Source organism: Homo sapiens, chromosome 2, assembly GCF_000001405.40.
Source record: "Homo sapiens chromosome 2, GRCh38.p14 Primary Assembly".
Classification (NCBI taxonomy): Eukaryota; Metazoa; Chordata; class Mammalia; order Primates; family Hominidae; genus Homo; species Homo sapiens.
Genome location: NC_000002.12, coordinates 128076761 through 128096297, shown reverse-complemented (window position 1 = coordinate 128096297; position 19537 = coordinate 128076761). Strand labels below are relative to the sequence as shown.

The 19537-nt window shown below is 45.1% G+C and overlaps 1 protein-coding gene across 9 annotated transcripts in view, besides 1 other annotated feature; it reads right to left on the bottom strand.

Annotated features, from left to right (window-relative positions):
* Window positions 1-5098, bottom strand: part of UGGT1 (UDP-glucose glycoprotein glucosyltransferase 1) — a 104478-nt gene extending 99380 nt beyond the window's left edge. For 3 of the 9 annotated variants that reach the window (NM_020120.4, XM_006712635.5, XM_047445123.1), the window contains exon 1: window positions 4883-5098. In NM_020120.4, the coding sequence (NP_064505.1) occupies window positions 4883-4940 (58 nt within the window). In that variant the 5' untranslated portion in view covers window positions 4941-5098. Of the gene's footprint in view, window positions 1-4701 lie in introns of all 9 variants that reach the window. The other 6 variants (XM_006712636.4, XM_047445122.1, XM_047445124.1 and 3 more) reach the window with 3 other exon arrangements.
* Window positions 5027-5336: an enhancer, noted in NCBI's record as "active region_16509". NCBI's record gives its function as "activates an Ori minimal core promoter by ATAC-STARR-seq in GM12878 lymphoblastoid cells {active_cell/tissue: GM12878}" and the evidence as "EXISTENCE:reporter gene assay evidence [ECO:0000049][PMID:35858748]".

Genomic DNA, 19537 nt, shown 5'->3' with positions numbered 1-19537 from the left:
TGGGTCCCAAATGTAAACTCAGACAGGTTCTGAAATAAAGAAATGTAAAATTTTAGTGGCTTCCCAAGCCAACTGTCCCATCTACAAAATGAGGGATCTAGGGTCACTGGCAAAGTGGATGGCCACAGAATGCAGGCCTCTTGACACCCTCCGCAGCCGCTCCAAGCCTGTCAAGATCCTCTCAGACAGCATCCAGACAGTTTCAGAAAAAGGTCTCCAGCTGCAGATTTCTCTGATTTTCATCTCCAAAGTCCACCTAACAGAACCCTAATCGGACCTCCCCTGAGCTCTACCCATTTGAATGAGAACTAAAAGGGGGTGTGAATATGTGGGAAGCACTAAGCTATCCTTGGGCTTCAGAATGTTAGCTCTGGTAAGGCTCACTTCGGTCTCATCCCAGTTCTTTAATATTGGTTACAAAATCTATCACTGAGGGAGGCTGTCCACATTGGGGACTAGTCAATAGCTGCTTTTTATAAAAAGCATCATTTGTGTTAACATCCTGCTTCATAGAACATACAGTATCTCTGAAGAACGATGGTCAAAAGCAAAATAAATTATAACAAATAGAAAAGTGGCTTTCAGAAGCATTTTAAGTTCAGGCACTGCCAGCTTCTTTGGAAACCAAAAAAAATTAATAAATCAGCCAGGCATGGTGGCATGCACCTATGGTCCCAGCTACTTGGGAGGCTAAGGTGGGAAGATAGCTTGGGCCTAGGAGGTCCATGCTGCATCTGGGCAACAGAGCGGGACAGGAGGAGTTACGGGACAGGAGGAGAGCAGGACAGGAGGAGAGTGGGGGAGGAGGAGGAGGAAGAGGAGGAGGAGGAAGAGGAAAGAAAGAAGAAAGAAGGAGGAAGAGAAGGAGGAGGGGAAGGGGAAGGTAAAGGGGAAGGGGAAGGAGAAGGGGAAGGGGAAGGGGAAGAGGAAGAAGAAGAGGAAGGAGAAGAAGAAGAACATCCCACTTATAAATAAAAACACTCAGAAGTGTTTTTCAAAATCAACGTTTGTAAAAACTGCTATAGAGGCTGCAGAAATGAAAGAATACACACACAAAAATGAAACCTACTGAAATTAGAGATAACCAAACTAGATTTTACACAATGAAACCTGATAGCAGTGATTCCTGGCTGGTTGAGTGAAGAGGATATAGGCCTTTTCTGGAATCTAGTAAAGTTACTGACATTTCCCACAGAGGAGCAAACAAGGACCCAAATTTTATGTACAACTTAAGAATTCTCTTGGGACTGGCCCAGCGCAGTGGCTCACGCCTGTAATCCCAGCACTTTAGGAGGCTGAGGTGGGTGGATCACCTGAGGTCAGGAGTTCAAGACCAGTCTGTCCAATGTGGTGAAACCCCGTCTCTACTAAAAATACAAAAATTAGCCAGGCATAGTGGCAGGTGCCTGTAATCCCAGCTACTCAGGAGGCTGAGGCAGGAGAATCGCTTGAACCCGGGAGGTGGAGGTTTCAGTAAGTCGAGATCGCACCACTGCACTCCAGCCTGGGCGACAGAGAGAGACTCCGTCTCAAAAAAAAAAAAAAAAAAAAAAAAAAAAAAGCATTCTCTTAGGACTAACCATAGACACCCTTTCCCACAGGCCCACAGACTGCAGCCTCAGAAACCTGCTCTACAGGACACAATAGACACGGTTTGTAAAAAAAGGGAACCTTTTAGCATCAGGGCAGCTGTGATCAATTCCTGAGTTTGCTACGTACTAGCAGTTTAACCACATATATGTTACCTAACTTCCCAGGCCCTTAGTCTCGAAGACTATCAAAGTAGGAATAATAGTATCTGCCTCACAGGGTCAATGTGAAAATGAAGAGGCAATAAAAAAATCACTTTGTAAAGTGCCAAGTACTATACCAGAATTGATTGTTGTAGTAAAACATTTTATCGTAAGAAAAAACTATCTTCTAAATTACAGAATAGTACATCATCGTTATTAAATAGCCTCAAAAATACACATTGGAAATATATCCTCTGTGGCTGAGAGAAAAAATTCTCCCCAAAAGTTACAGAGTTTTTCTTTTTTTTTTAATCTGGCCTGAGTCAATGAGTTTATAAACTGGAGACAGCGCATCATATGAACTGTCTAGCAGTATTACGCTATTAGCTATGTTTACAATTTGTCCTGAAGGGGTCTAGATGTGTACACCCCAGAAAGTGGTGATTCCTGATGACGAATTGGACGCCACTGCACTGTAACCCCAGGTGGATGGCATGTAGAGTGGGGAGGAAATTGGGGGTATGACAAAGTCCCCTGAGGAAACCCCAGCATTTAACAAGCAATGACTCTGAGCTAAACATTGTATTAGGTGCTTTACATACACAGTGTTATCTAATCCTTACATACAACAACCCAGGGCACTAACGTTCTCTGAGGGGAGCAACCATGTCTACTTCGTTTACCAAAGTGCACAGCATGATGCCTGGCACTCAGAAGACAGTCCATGAATATGCTGCATGCATCTCCACTTTAAAAATAAGTGAAAGCTCGAAGATGCTGAGTACCTTGCCTAACTAATAAATAGCAGTGCTTAGAACCCACACCTTCCTGCTTTTAAAGTTCTACAATACCGTGCTCTCTTCTCTGGTTCTCTGGCTTTACAAAAGGGTAAAAAGCCATACTCTGTGCAGACTCAGACTGAGAAAAGTGCTTGTGAGAACCAAGGCAAGTCCAAGGATTTTCAGTGGCCACAGTTCTTGGGAGACAGGTGGCTGAGAAAGGAATAGTTTTAACCTGAAACCAAGGGAGGAGGCCTGAAGCTGGGACCGAAGCAATCCAACCAACCAATCTGACAGATCCACACTTACGCTGGCTTTGGGGACCGATGGGAGCTCCTCAAGAGCAGGGTGTTTTGTCTATCATGGTCTCCACGCCTAGCATTATGCCTGAAACATAGAAGGCTCTCAAAATGAAATAAACACAGGCCTCATTCATTAAGGCATGAATGGAAACAACAGGAAAGGAGTGTGGCACCAAGAGTGAAGATGCTATAAAATGCCTAGGACTGCAAGATAGGTAAAATGAAAATCCTATGAACCTGTGGCCTGCCTCGAGATCCCCCTACACTGTTTTCAAAAAGGAGAGAGAGTACGTGTTCTTGGGGAGAGATGCAGCACCATTTGAGATGAAAAAAGGAGGAAAGCTATACATTAAAAAAGAGCTTTGCCACTCTGACCCCACATTCTTAACTCTACAGGTAAAACCAGAGGAAAAGACTGTCCAGAGAAGCAGACGTAAGAATCTCACTGAAGTGGTCTCTGCTTTGAGTATGTCTTCATTTTATAGGATCCCTTATCATTCTGACCCTAGGGGTTCTTAAATGTTGCTTATAAAGACAAACAGTCTGAGATAATGGCCAACAGAATGTGCCATGTGGCTTTGCATGATAAGCATTATACTTGCGGCATGATGAATAAACAGAAAACACTCTTTAACAAGTTCTAGGCCCAACTATCAACAACCATCCGTAGGAGGCTGAGGTAGGAGGACCACCTGAGCCCAGGAGGTGGAGGCTGCAGCTAGCAAGATCATGTCACTATTCTCTAACCTGGGCAACAGAGCAAGACTCTGCCTCACCAACAAAAAATAAAAAAATAAATTAAAACACTATCTCTTGCACCATTGCACTCCAGCCTGGGTAACAAGAGTGAAACTCCATCTCAAAAAAAAAAAAAAAAAGAAAGAAAGAAAGAAAATTATCACATCATCTTGTATTGTTACAGGGAAACTTAGATAAAAAAAGAAAATGCTCACAGACAGCTGCAGGAAAGTTCTAAGCAAATTTTCTTCTTACTTTCATATATTCCCCTGAAGTTCAATGTGCATTATAAATGTGCTATGCTACTGTACAAAGTATTATGGTCACTTCCTTTAATAAGTTTCATGTGGCCAGGAGTTCAAGATCAGACTGGTAGGTAACAAGACCTCATCTCTACAAAATAAATAAATAAATAAATAAATAAGAATTTTTTTAAAATAAGCTTCAGCTAAGTTTATCAAAAGCAAGTCAAGTGTTGCTAAATTCGACTGGCTTAAAAAAAAAAAAAGCAAAGTGAAAAGGCTACAATTATTCCAAGTTTTGTGGTGCTGTTAAATAGCTATTTAAAATGTCTTCAAACGCCTGCAAGTGTAAGATTCTTGAAGGAAAGAGGGCACTTTACACTAAAATTGGCTGGCAAGTACATCAATGAATGTTTCCAAAACAGTTAGTGTAGCACAATAAGGCAAAAGACCCCAGGACTTCAAACGAACAAAATTGCTCCTTCTCAAATCTGGCAAGAAATGCAAAACAACTGCAGATTCTGGCCAAGGAACAAAAACAGTTCACATCTATAAGTTATTGGCGACGGACGCAGATCTCATTCTGGCAGGTCCCACGCTAAAAGTGAAACCATATCATCCAATTTCCAGCCAACAGATCACAGTGTTAAAAGAAAACAGTAACCAATACGCATCAACCCGAATTCATTTTAGGAAAAATTGAAATCTATTTTAAAAAGCACGTCGTTCTGCAATCAGGGTCCTGCAAAGTGCTGCTTCTCAACTCACTGAGGATCAAGCTTGGTCTAAATCCATGGTAGGATACCTCCCCCATTTCCTTCTGCACTTGGCACAAGGATCTAAAGCTCTTCAAAGAAGGTTCAAGACCGCTGAACAGAGCCCGCCGCCACCCCCGCGGAAGCGATACCTTGCCAAGAAGACCACTGAGGGCAACTCGGGGCGCTCGCGAATAGGGGAAGGGATAGGACACCAGAGGGTAAACTGAGTCACGGTAGAGGCGGAAGCTCAATGTGACAGGGGCACAGGGTCGCCTTGTGCCCCAAACCCTCTCTTTGTCCACGAGGCCTCCTCACGCCACCCCTGGGTACCTGTCACCGGCAGCGCACCCGCGGCACACGCACCGCTCGCGTCTCCCTTGCAGCCCATGCCCGGGCCGTGGTCAGTCCGCCACAGTGCCAGAGACAACGCCAGGGCAGGGCGGGGCGAGGCGGCAGCGGCAGTGCAGGCTGCGCCAGTGAGAGGCCGACACGCGCCTTTCCCGCGGCTCGACTCAACACCCAGCCTCGCAAAGCAATTGCCCAGCTGCCGGCCGCCCTTTTACTTCCGCTTCCTGCAGGCGAACGCTGGAGGACTTCCGGATACCGAGTCGAGACCTAGCAGCCCAGAGCGTCGCGCGGTCGCCCTCTCATCTCCGAGGGTTGGGGAGGGGGGAGTCCTGCCTCTCTCCTCACTTCCGCCTTTCAGGGTGGCGGGTAGGCTGCCGGTCTTCAAGGTCTTGGGAAGGTTCGTTGGGCCAACAGCTGAGACCCGAAAGCTTCAACAGTCAGTCGGTGAAATCCAGTTTGGACTCTGGGACTTACTCCCTTAAACCTTTGTTAAAAGCTTACTCCCTTTAGCCTTTCGGTGGCACAGTAAGGACAATTGTCTTAATGTTTCTGAGCATCTTAGACTTTATACTAAACCCTAAAATTTTGATAGCTACCTTCCAGGAGGCATGATGAAAGGAAGACTTTTTAAATTTTATGAGCCGCTTGAGCTTTCTTATTCGGACAGCGGCAGCTTAGTCTACAGGGACTACTTTGTCCTTTTAGTATTTTTTTTTTAACTAATATAAACCAGTTTAAAATTGTTTTGGAATAGGTAGCATTTAACCCACCCAAAAATGAATACCTCTTTGGAGGGTATATTTTTAAGTATATTAAGTCAAAGTGAATGAAAAGCCAAAAATATTTTTTTGGAGTTGGAGTCTCGCTCTGTCTCCCAGGCTGGAATGCAGTGGCGCGATCTCGGCTCACTGCAACCTCCGCGCCCCCGCCCGCGCCCCCCACCCCCCAACCCCCCGACCCGCATTCAAGCGATTCTCCCACCTCAGCCTCCCCAGTAGCTGGGATTACAGGCGTGCGCCACCGCGCCTGGCTAATTTTTGTATTTTTAGTAGAGACAGGGTTTCACCCTGTTGGCCAGGCTGGTCTCGAACTGCTGACCTCAGATGATCCACCCGCCTCGGCCTCCCAAGTGCTGGGATTACAGGCGTGACCCACTGCGCCCGGCCCAAAATAATTTTAATAAATAAACATGAGCCAACATGATGAAGGGGAGGAAGGAGAGGAGGATGAAGGAGATGACTAATGGAACACTGATGGAGGCCGGGCGCGGTGGCTCACGCTGAGGATGGAGGCTGAGGCAGGAGAATGGCGTGAACCCGGGAGGCGGAGGTTGCTTGCAGTGAGCAGAGATCGCATCACTGCACTCCAGCCTGGGCGAGAGAGGGAGACTCCATCTCAAAAAAAAAAAAAACAGCAACAACAACAGCAAAAAAACACTGATGGATTCCAACCTTCCTTTTTTTACATTTTCTCCAGTCCCTGGGAGCAAGTTGCAGTTTTTTTGTTTTTTTGTTTTTTGTTTTTTCTCTCTTGTGCTCAGTCGCCCTGTTCTTGAGGTTTCTTTTCTCTACACTATAGTTCTCAACTTATTTTGGGGGAAATAACTTCAGCAGAATACAATGGGAAAAGAGTCTCTACCCCTTTCTGTTCGAAATTCATTTTTATCCCTTCCTGTCTGAGCAAAAACTGTATAGAATCAACATCACCCCAGCTCTGTGGGAAAAAAGAAAAACCTGCTCCCTTCGCCCTGCTGGAAGCTGGAGGGCTCTAGGCCCATGTGTAGCAGAGCATTCAATTCTAGCTTTCTTCCTGCTTTCTCTGTATATTGGGCTCGGAGAGTACACTGGGTCTCTATGTGAATATGGACAGTTAGCATTTACCAACATCTTTCTGTCTACTTTCTCTTGTTTAAAAAAAGAAAAAAACTTTAAAAAATGGGATTCTAGAAGTCAGCAAAGGGTGGGTCTGAGATGTTTGGGTGGGTTAAGCGGACATTTTGACAACATGGCTTCTCCTTTGGCATGTTTAATTGCGATGTTTGACACACATCCTTGCAGTTTAAGATGACGCTTTTAAAATAAATTCTCTCCTAATGATGACTTGAGCCCTGCCACTCAGTGGGAGAATCAGCAGAACCTCTAGGATCTTATTTGGAATTGACATTCTCTATTGTAATTTTGTTCCTGTTTATTTTTAAATTTTGTTTCACTGGAAAGGAAAGATCATGCTCAGTTTTAAATGTTAAAAGTGTACAAGTTGCTTTGTTACAATAAAACTAAATGTGTACACACACCTACGAAAAGAAAAAAACATGAGCATTTTAAAATTTATTTCACAAGGGAGCTGTTGTGTTAGCTTTCCATAGTGTATTTTCTAGCCCTCTTTAAATCACATCAGCTAATGCTTCAATAAAAAGGAAATTGTTAATTCACCTCATTACAAAGTTGATTATATACTTTTTCTTGGCCTTATCTTGATCTTCTGCTATGTGATCCATGAACAAAACCAAAGTTTGCTTAGTTTTAAAATACAGCTAAGTGGTAGCACAGAGCTTCTAGGAAAGTTGGATTTCACCTTTTCTAAACCTTTCTCTGAAAAGTGCTACCTTATTTGAATAAAAACAGATTTTAAAAAATTTTTTAAACTTTTTATTTAGAAATAATTATAAATTCACAAGAAGTTGCAAAGATAGTACACAGAGGTACTTTGTACCCTTAAGCCCATTCCCCCAATGATTACATTTCAAATATCTATATTAAAGTATGAAAACCAGAAATTGACTTGGTACATTGTGTGGGGGAGACAGGTATATTTCCATCATTTTGTGTATGTCTGTACATTTGTGTAACCACTGCCAAAATGAAGACCCACAACTATTGCAGCACCACAAAGATCTCCCTTGTGCTACCCCTTTATGAAGTCAGAACTACTTTCCTACCCCCAAAACCCCTAGCCTGTGGCAACCATCATTTTGATCATTAAATATAAAATTTTTCAATTCTAGAATGTTATATGAATAGTATCACATAGTATGTAGCTTTTTTATTTATTTATTCACTCAGCATAACCACCTGTGGAGCCATACAAGTTGTAGATATCAGTAGTTTGTTCCTTTTTATTACTGAGTAATATTCCATGGTACAAACATACAGATTCATTTTAGCATCACCTATTGAAGGATATTTGGGTTTTTTCCAGTTCTGGACTATTACAAATAAAGCTCCTATTAACATTCATGTACAGGTTTGTATTTATATTTATTTATTTATTTATTTAAAATTACAAAAATCAGCCAGGCATGGTGGTGGGCGCCTGTAATCCCAGCTACTTGGGAGGCTGAGGCAGGAGAATTGCTTGCACCCAGGAAGCAGAGGTTGCAGTGAGTAGAGATTGCGCCACTCCACTCCAGCCTGGGTGAGGAGCAAGACTCTGTCTCAAATAAAAAAAAATTATTTATTTATTTATTTATTTATTTAATAGATCAGGTCTCACCATGTTACCCAGGCTGGTCTCAAAATCTTGGGCTCAAGCAATCCTCCCCACTTGGTCTCCCAAAGTCCTGGGATTACAGTCATGAGCCACCACGCCCAGCCCTATGTAAAGGTTTTTTACATAGACACAAGTTTTTTGTTTGTTTTTGTTGGGAAGGAGTGTCGCTCACTCTGTCACCCAGGCTGGAGTGCAGTAGTGTGATCTGGCTCACTGCAACCTCTGCTTCTGGATTCAAGCAATTCTCCTGCCTCAGCCTCCTGAGTACCTGGAATTACAAGTGTGTGCCACCACACCCGGGTAATTTTTTTATTTTTAGTAGAGATGGGGTTTTGCCATGTTGGCTAGGCTGTTTTCAAACCCCTGACCTCAAGTGATCCACCTGCTTCAGCCTCCCAAAGTGTTGGGATTACAGGCATGAGCCACCATGTCTGGCCTAGACCTAAGTTTTTTTTTATCTGGGATGAATGCCCAAGAGTGCAATTACTTGATCATATGGTAAATGTACATTTTGCTTGTAAGGAAAGGCCAAACTATTTTCTAGAATGGCTGTACCATTTTACATTCCCACCACCAGTGTATGAGAGATCCATTTTCTCTGCATTCTTACCCACAATTGGTACTGCCATTATTTTTTTATTTTTGTTATTTTGATAGGCACATAGTAATTCCTCATCATGGTTTCAATTTGCATTTCCCTAGTGGCTGGTGATGATGAGCATATTTTCACATGGTCATTTGCAATCTGTGTATCCTTTTGTGGAATGCCTTGTCATGCCCTAGCTTATTCTCTAATTATTTGGTTTTCCACCATTGAGTTTTGAGGGTACTTTATATATTTTAGATACAAGTTATTTGTCAGATATGCCATTTGGAAACATTTTCTCCCTGTGTATAGCTTGTATTCTCATGCCCTTAACAGGATCTTTCTCAGAGCAAAAGTTTTTAATTTTGGTGAAGTGCAGTCTATCCATTTTTCTCTTATGGATCTTGCTTTTAGTGACATGTCTAAGAACTATTCACTAGAGCCGGGCGCGGTGGCTCATGCCTGTAATCTCAACACTGGGAGGCCAAGGCGGGCAGGTTGCCTGAGCTCAAAGGAGTTCGAGACCAGTCTGGCCAATGTAGTGAAACCCTGTCTCCACTAAAAATGCAAAAATGAGCTGGGCATGGTGGCACATGCCTGTAATCCCAGCTACTCTGGAGGCTAAGGTAGGAGAATCACTTGAACCCGGGAGGCAGAGGTTGCAGTGAGCTGAGATCACGCCACTGCACTCTATCCTGGGTGACAGAGCGAGACTCTGTCTCAAAAAAACAAACAAAAACAAAGGGCCTTTCCTGACTTTTTGAAGTTCAGTCCTCAAACTATTACTATCGCTCCTCCACCTTTTCTATTTTTTTCTGTTTTATGTATGTTGATAGTTTGCACCCCCCACTAGGTGTCACTCCATGAGGACAGGGACATCATTTAGTTCAGTGCTACATCCTTAGCCCCTAGGACATTGCTCAACCAATATTGGATGAACATTTCTCTCTGCACCTCCCTCCTCTATCCATGAGGTACACTCAGCTGAGATGGCCAGCTGTTGCTGTTCACGTCCAGGTGGCTGCTGGGCAAAGGACATGCCTTGAAATCAGTAAATGCCCCTTGAGGTGCTGGAGACACAGCATAGAATCCTCTAGGTTTCTAAGTTCCCACCCAAATCTCATGTTGAACTATAATCCCCAGTACTGGAGGTGGGGCCTTGTGGGAGGTGTATGGGTCTGGGGTGGGGGCAGATCCTTCAAGGCTTGGTGCTATCTTCATGATATTGAGTGCGTTCTCTCAAGATCTGGTCATTTACAAGTGTGTGGCACCTTACCCCTCCCCACTCTCTCTCTTACTTGCTCCTGCTTTCACCGTGTGACATGCCTGTTCCCCCTTCACCTTCTGTCATAATTGTAAGCTTCCTGAGGCCTCCCTAGAAGCCATGCAGATGCCTGCATCATGTTCCCTGTAAAGCCAGCCGAACTGTGAGCCAATTAAACCTGTTTTCTTTTTAAATTACCCAGTCCCAGTTATTTCTTTATAGCAATGCAAGAGTGGCCTAATGCAATAGCCAAATAAATTGATTGTGGAAAGCAAAGTTGGCATTTAATGTTTGATTTCCAGATGGAAAAGGAGTGCAACTCAAAGAGATTTATAGTGATGAGGCCGAGTGCAGTGGCTCACGCCTGTAATCCTAGCACTTTGGGAGGCAGAGGTGGGCAGATCACAAGGTCAGGAGTTCGAGACCAGCCTGGCCAATATGGTGAAACCCTGTCTCTACCAAAAATACAAAAATTATCCAGGTGTGGTGGCGCATGCCTGTAATCTCACCTACTTGAGAGGCTGAGGCAGGAGAATTGCTTGAACCTGGGAGTTGGAGGTTGCGGTGAGCCAAGATCACACCACTGCACTCCAGCCTGGGTGACAGAGCAAGACTCCTATCTCAAAAAAAAAAAAAAAATGTATAGTGCTGGATTGCACATGTGCAAAAGGTGACACATGAGAAGGCCATCACTTGCACTGCAAGTTGGTGAGACAGAATAACGAAAAAGTGTTACGGTCACCAAAATATTACTCTCCATAGACTGCCCATTCCAGGGGAAACTTGTTCAGCCATGAAAAGCAGAGGGTAACCCAGAGGGGGAAGATGAGTTCATCAGAGGTACAGGAGGGGAATCACTGAGATCAAGATTTGGGGGCTGGGCAAGGTGGCTCATACCTGCAATCCCAACACTTTGGGAGGACGAGGCAGGAGGGTCACTTGAGCCCAGGAGTTTATGACCAGCCAGGGTAACATGGTGAACCACCCCCCCGCCACAAAAAAATACAAAAAAATTAGCCAAGCATGGTGGCTTGTGTCTGTAGTCCCAGCTACTTGGGATGCTCAGATGGGAGGATCACCTGAGCCTGAAGAGGTCGAGGCTGCAGTGAGCCGTGATTGCACCACGCCCTCCAGCCTGGACAACAGAGCAAGACCCTATCTCAAAAAAAAAAAAGAAAAAAGATTTGGGGATTGTTTCCTTCTAATTCCAAGACTTTGGGGCAGGAAGGAGAAAAGTATGGCCAAACAGTCTGTCTACTGAAGTGGAGTCCCTTAGAAGAGCTAAATGCTTTCTAGCAAGTAGGACAACCTCCCAGAAAATCTCACTTACTGTCCCAAAGCCCTCTCACTCCCATTGTCAGGTACTCTGTATGTTTTGTCTTGGACTAGAAATTAGCAACATCCATTTTGTGTGTTGTGGCCTCCATGAATCACGTCTTTCTGTTGTGTGATGTTACTATTCCTGCCATCCAGAAGTGGAGTCTGTCTTCTTACCCCTTGAATCTGGACTAACCTTGTGACTTGCTTTCACCCAGAGAATGCAGTGGATGTGTCATTCTAGGACTTCTAAGCTCAAGCCTTTGGAGATCTGGCAGCTTCCACTTTTGCTCTCAGGGCTCAACCTCCAGGTAGAGAAGCCCAAGGCTACCCTGCTGGAGAAAGAGGTCACTTTTTGTTTAAGAACAAGTTGTTAGGCCGGGCACAGTGGCTCATGCCTGCAATCCCAGCACTTTGGGAGGCTGAGGCGGGTGGATCACCTGAGGTCAGGAATTTGAGACCAGCCTGGCCAACATGGTGAAACCCCGTCTCTACCAAAAATGCAAAAATTAACCAGGCATAGTGGCGCACTTCTGTAATCCCAGCTACTCGGGAGGCTGAGGTGGGAGAATTGCTTGAAACCTGGAGGCGGAGGCTGCAGTGAGCCCAGATCGCGCCACTGCACTCTAGCCTGGGTGACAGAGTGAGACCCTGTCTCAAAAAAAAAAAAAAAATTGTTAAATACTTACCAATCTTGGAAGGGAATGAAATATTTCACTCTATCTTTCCTAGCTTTTGCATTTTAAAACATGCAAATATCACCTGCATAAAAAATGGGAATGGGCAGGGCACGGTGGGTCACTCCTGTAATCCCCAGCATTTTGGGAGGCCGAGGGGGGTGGATCACCTGAGGTCAGGGGTTCAAGACCAGCCTGGCCAACATGGTGAAACCCTGTCTCTACTGAAAATACAAAAATTAGCTGGGCATGGTGGCAGGCACCTATAATCCCAGCTACTGGGGAGGCTGAGGCAGGAGAATGTCTTGAACCTGGGAGGCAGAGGTTGCAGTGAGTGGAGATAGTGCCATCTCACTCCAGCCTGAGCAAGAGTGAAACTCCATCTCAAAAAAAAAGGGGGGGAGGGGGGAATTGGCCAGGCATAGTGGCTCATGCCTGTAATTCCAGCACTTTGGAAAGCCAAGGCAGGAGGATCACTTGAGGTCAGGAGTTCAAGACCAGCCTGGGCAACATAGTGAGATCCTGTCTCTACCTTAAAAAAATTGAACTTATTTTTAAAATATATTTCAAACATGGTCCAAACAATAAAGTAGAAAGGAGAAGAGGCAGAAAGAATATGCAGATGGAGGCTGCAAGGGAAAGAGAACACCTACAATCCACCCCACCAGTGAGACTGGAGCACTGGCTTGACTGGTCTGCATGAGCAAGGAGTTCCACATGTACCTGACTTCTCCCCTGCACAAGAAGCCCTGATTCTATAGTCTAACTAGCTATGGCCCCTCAGAGCTTATGACAAAGCCTGACCTTTAGGGCAATGATGGTGCTGGGGTGGGCCGGCTGTACCATCTGGCAGGACTCCAGGATCGGTCCTGCTGATCACCAGCTTATTTCATGTGTGTATTCCTGAGTGAGCAAGCTCTCCAGGCACAGCTCTGACTCTCCTCATTACCATTCCTTTCCCAGCCCTCTTGGGGGAGACCCAGTTGAGCCCTACCCAAATTGAGAGGATACTAATGCATAGTTTCCCAGGAATCATCACCTGCCTTCAGTCCATCTTGGTCAGATCACCCCTATCATCTGCATACATTGTAATCACCTGACTACAGGGTTCTTCCTGCCTACTGTGCAGACAAAATTAATTTACTGAGACTGGGGCATTGCAGTAGAGAAAGAGTTTGACTCAAGGCCAGCCCACACAGGGAAACTGGAGTTCTCACTCAAATCAGTCTCCCTAAAGGCTCAGAAACCTGGGGAATTTTATGGACAATTTGGTGACTGGGGGGTCTATGGAATGGGTGCTGCTGATTGGTTGGGGATGAAATTATAGGAGTATGGAAATGGTCCTTGTGCACTGAGTCCACCTTTAGGTGGGGGCCACAGAATCAGCTGAGTCAGACCCCCACAGGTGGGGTCAGTCTGAAAAAAATCTCAAAAAGACTCAATCTTAGTTTCTACAATAGTGATGTTATCTATAGGACCAATTGGGAAGGTCACAGATCTTGTGAGCTCTGGCCACATGACTCCTGAGCTGTGAGGGATTATAAAAACTACACCTATCTTGGCTGGGCACGTGGCTCACACCTGTAATCCCAGCACTTTGGGAGGCCGAGGCGGGCAGATCACAAGGTCAGGAGATCAAGACTATCCTGGCTAACATGGTGAAACCCTGTCTCTACTAAAAACACAAAAAACTAGCCAGGCGTGGTGGCATGTGCCTGTAATCCCAGCTACTTGGGAGGCTGAGACAGGAGAATTGCTTGAATTCAGGAGGTGGAGCCTGCCATGAGCAGAGATTGTGCCACTGCACTTCAGCCTCTCCAGCCTGGGCAACAGAGAGAGACTTCATCTCAAAAAAAAAAAGAAAGAAAGCCAATCACTGAGACAACAATTATTGCCAGGAAAGAAGGCCTTTTATTTGGGAATTTATTTTTTTTGTAATTTATTGTAGACACAGAGTCTCCCTTTTTTGCCCAGGCTGGTCTCAAACTCCTGGCCTCAAGCAGTCCTCCTGCCTTAGCTTCTTAAAGTGCTGGGATTACAGGTGCGAGGCAGCCAGAAGTTTGGGTTTTTGTTGGTGGTGGTGGTGGGTTTTTGTTTGTTTGTTTGTTTGTTTGAGACAGAGTCTCGCTCTATTGCCCAGGCTGGAGTGTAGTGGCATGATCTCAGCTCACTGCCACCTCTGCCTCCCAGGTTCAAGCGATTCTCCTGCCTCAGCCTTCCCATGTTTTAGTTAGTTTTTCCTACCAGACAACACAAGAAAGGATAATGCTGCATTTATTTTCATTCTCCGAAGCAACTACCACAGGGTTATTTATACACTTAGGAGGTAATTAGTAACTATCTACTCAGCTAAATGTTTTGCAGTTTTGTAAAGTTTGAAAAAATGGCGGCCAGGCACAGTGGCTCATGCCTGTAATCCTAGCAGTTTGGGAGGCCGAGGCAGGTGCATCATGAGGTCGGGAGTTCAAGACCAGCCTAGCCAAGATGGCGAAACCCTGTCTCTACTAAAAATACAAAAATTAGCCGGGCGCGGTGGCAGGCACCTGTAATCCCAGCTACTTGGAAAGCTGAGGCAGGAGAATCACTTGAACCCGGGGGGCGGAGGTTGCAGTGAACTGAGATCCGGTCACTGCACTCCAGCCTGGGGGACACAGCGAGGCTCCAACTCAAAAAAAAAAAAAAAAAAAAAGACAAAATGGCTGAGTACTTTCTGAATTCACACTTAGGATGTCAACACAGACTATATGTCTACAATATACTTATTATAGCTTGTGATTCAAATGCAGTCATGCATGGTTCTCACTACTGTAAAAGGTCTGCCTCAATGGATGGTATTATGACTTGGTATATTTGATCCTATTCCCTGGAAAAAAGACTCTGGAGATGAAAAGTTTGGGAGAAGTGCTCCTGGGATCAGCTCCTGGGGAAATGTAGAAACTGGAATTGGGAAGAGGGAAAAGCTGAACTACAGTACAGGTGCAACAGAGGGCTCAGTTTATCTCACATGGAGCTATGGAGCTGGAATAGCCACCTTGAGATAGGGTTCCATGCTTTTCTAGTGCTGCATCTACAGTAGACGGATGCAGACTGTCTCTGAAGAGGAGGGATGACATTGAATGAGATGGTTGAGTTGCCCTCTAGTTGAGGGCAACTTTCAGAGAGCAACTCAATAGAGAGCTTTCAGCCTCCAATATTCCCAAGAAACTAGAGAAACGAGTGCCTCCACCCTAAAGGGGAGCTGTGGTTGGCATACTACAACATCCACCAATGTATCCCTTTTTTCACTTAGATGCATTTTTTCACATAAGTTTTGGAATCAGCTCTTCCAGGATTCTGATGGGTCTCTCTTCTAGAACAAACTTTCAAGAGGAAGACTAGTAGAAAAAGATACAGCTCCTACCATTGTAACTAGTCTCAAGGTCACAAGTGACGCTCATGTTTTCCTGCTTTCCTTCTGGATTTCCTCAACCTGAGCTAGCACCTCTGCTGGTCTAAGTGATTTACCTTGTGGGTGACCCAGAACCCCATCTCTAAGGGGTCTGAACCCCTATCATCATCATGCTCTTCTCAGAGATGGCTGTTCAATTCGTCCATTTACCATCAAAATTGGGCAAAGCGTACAAAAGAAACACAGTAGGTGACCTAACTGCAAACATAGTCTTCCTTGCCCCATGATGTGACAACAGCCCTGATAAACAGCCCTCGTGATTACCAGAGTCAAGCACTTCTGCCAGGACAGTGACTTCAATCCTAGCCTGCTGGTCTCTTGACAAGAAGGGCTTGAAGTGAGTGGGTGGCAGTCACTGCTTAAACGTTAATCTCACAGAGAATTCTGGAGTTAGGATGTCCTTCAGAATGATCGCACCTTGGGGCACAGGCCACTACAGTCAACATAAATCAGTCATTAGATGCAGGCTGCACTGAGGGAGAGGATATGACCTTGAGGAAGACCCTCTCATTGGATGAGGCCGACTAATGGAGAGAGACTCAGTGAAAGTTGTTAACCACTGACACTCCCAGCAGTGAGAAAATGAGTGCCTCCATTCTGAAGGGTGATCTGAATGGCACATCACAGAATCCACTACACTTGATCACAAGTCCTTTAATTTGTTCTGTGACAGCTATTGCTATGAATGCTTTACAAATTATTTTATGGCCGGGCATGGTGGCTCATGCCTGTAATCCCAGCACTTTGGGAGGCTGAGGTAGGTGGACCACCTGAGGTCAGGGTATTTGAGATCAGCTTGGCCAACATGGCAAAACCCGGTCTCTGCTAAAAACACAAAAAATAACCAGGTGTGGTGGCACGCACATGTAATCCCAGCTACTTGGGAGGCTGAGGCAGGAGAATCACTTGAACCCGGAAGGTGGAGGTTGCAGTGAGCCAAGATTGTGCCACTGCGCTCCAGTCTAGGCAACAGAGTGAGACTCAAAAAAAAAAAAAAAAAAAAAAAAAAAAAAAAAAAAAACTTACCACCTGCCCTCTATTTGCCTGAAATTGCCACCATAGAGTCTCTTCTGCCTTCAAACCCTAATGCAGGCCAGATGAGGTGGCTCACACCTGTAATCCCAGCACTTTGGGAGGCCTTGGAGGGCAGATCACTTGAGTCCAGGAGTTCGAGACCACCCTGGGCAACGTGGCAAAACCCTGCCTCTACTAAAAATACAAAAATTAGCCAGGCATAGTGGTTTGTGCCTACAGGCCCAGCTACTCGGGAGGCTAAGTTGGGATGATCACTTCAGCCTGGGAGGTTGAGGCTTCAGTGAGCCATTATCCCACCACAGCACTCCAGCCCAGGTGGCAAAGCAACAAAACCACCTAATACAAGGGAAAATAAAAGATGAATCACGGCCGGGCACAGTAGCTCATGCCTGTAATTCCAGCACTTTGAGAGGCCAAGGCAGGCAGATCACGATGTGAGGAGTTCAAGACCAGCCTGGCCAACATGGCGAAACCCCGTCTCTACTAAAAATACAAAAATTAGCTGGGCATGGTGGCACATGCCTGTAATCCCAGCTACTCTGGAGGCTGAGGCAGGAAAATTGCTTGAACTAGGACCCAGGAGGCAGAGGTTGCAGTGAGCCAAGATCGCGCCACTGTACTCCAGTCTGGGCTACAGAGCGAGATTGTCTCAAAAAAAAAAAAAAAAAAAAAGAGGAGTCATGAATGTTTTGTGATGCCATGAAATAAAGTAGTGCATGAATAAATATGGGGGAATCTCAAAAGGACACAGAGCCAACCAAAGTAGTACTCAATGCCCAAATCCAGACCAATCTGAGAAATGAACTAAACAATGAGCGTAATGGATAACAACACAGAATTTTTTTAAAGTCCATGATTACATGCTGATATGAATAAATAATTGAATAAATAAATTAATAGGAGGGATAGGAGGGAAGAAACAGCCCTGCCTTGTGGAAGAATACCAATTATACATGTAGAAGGGGCTGGGCGCAGTGGCTCGCGCCTGTAATCCGTGTTCTTTGGGAGGCCAAGGTAGGTGGATCACCTGAGGTCAGGAGTTTGAGGCCAGCCTGGCCAACATGGCGAAACCCCGTCTCTACTAAAAACACAAAAATTAGCCAGGCGTGGTAGCACATGCCTGTAATCCCAGCTACTCAGGAGGCTGAGACAGGAGAATTGGTTGAACCCAGGAGGTGGAGGTTGCAGTGAGCTGAAACCACACCACTGCACTCCATCCAGCCTGGGCGACAGGGCAAGACTCCGTCTCAAAAAAATTGTAGAAGTAATAAGAGAAATGTAAAATAACCATCAGGCAAACAGTAGGGTAACAATCGTTCCAGGCAAGATTCACAATGGAATGCTAAAATCCGTGGGCAAAACGGGATATTCACATAATCCCAAGTATCTCTCCCAAGACAGTTCCCCTAAGATAGTTCCTCAATTATAATGTAGAAAAATAGTGATTTTTTTTTTTTTTGAAACAAGGTCTCACTCTGTCACCCAGGCTAAAGTGCAGTGGTGCCTTGAACTCCTGGGTCCAAAAGATCCTCCCACCTCCACCTCCAGAGTAGCTGGGATTACAGGTATGCACCCCCATCCCCAACTTTTTTTCTTTTAGAGACAGGGGTCTTGCTATGTTGTACAGGCTGGTCTCTGACTGTTGGGCTCCCACCCAAGCCTCCCAAAGGGTTGGGATTATAGATGTGAGCCGCTGTGCCTGGCCAAAAAATAGTGATTTTACATTGGAAACACCCAGCAGATACCACCTGAAACAAGAGATGAAGATTGGCCTCCCACAGCTCCCCTTGCGTGTGCTCCTGCATAACTCACACTAAAGAACCACGAGCAAAAAAGATCTTTAAAGGATTTTTAGAAGCTGAACTTTGGGCAGTTTGGGAGCATATTTTTTGTTTAATTAGATGAACAGAAGCCACAATTTCAAGCAAATAATGAGCAAGAAATTTCCCATCATTTTGGAAGTTTATTACAAATCCACTGAACAGTCTGAAATGTGTGGAATTGAAACTGCCTTTGCAAAAATTATAACAGTGACAAAAGTGTGACAGTGACAGAGACCTGACCTAACCAACACTATCTTGCTTCTAACCTCCAAGCTGCCCTTGTTCATTCGTGGGCATAGGACAAACTAACTTTGGGAGGAACTTAGTTTGCAGTTTAACTTTCAAACAAAGATGGTAACAGCCCTTTCCCCAAACAAACCTCCTTCTTGCCTGGAGACCAGATGGCCTTCGCAGAACTAACAAATTAGCCACAAGATTTGCAACTTCCTGCCGGGTGGGGTGGCTCACGCCTGTAATCCCAGCACTTTGGGAGGCCGAGGCGGATGGATCACAAGGTCAGGCGTTCAAGACCAGCCTGACCAACATGGGGAAACCCCATCTCTACTAAAAGAAAAAAAATACAAAAATTAGCCAGGCGTGGTGGCACGTGCCTGTAATCCCAGCTACTCTGGAGGCTGAGGCAGGAGAATTGCTTGAACGCGGGAGGCGGAGGTTGCAGTGAGCCAAGATCTCACCCCTGCACTACTCCAGCCTGAGCAACACAGCAAGACTCTGTCTAAAAAAAAAAAAAAAAAAAAAAAGATTTGCAACTTCCTCAGGAGGCTGAGGTGAGAGGATCACTTGAGCCCAGGCAGTCAAGGCTGCAGTGAGCTGTGACTGTGCCACTGCTCTCCCGCCTGGGCAACAGAGTGAGATCCTGTCTCAAAAAAAAAAAAAAAAAAAAGATTTGCAACTTTCTCAATTACTCCTGCAGAAAACATCACTATTTAGAACCTAAGATTGACCTTTTGAGATGTCTTTTCAGGTTTTTTCATTTC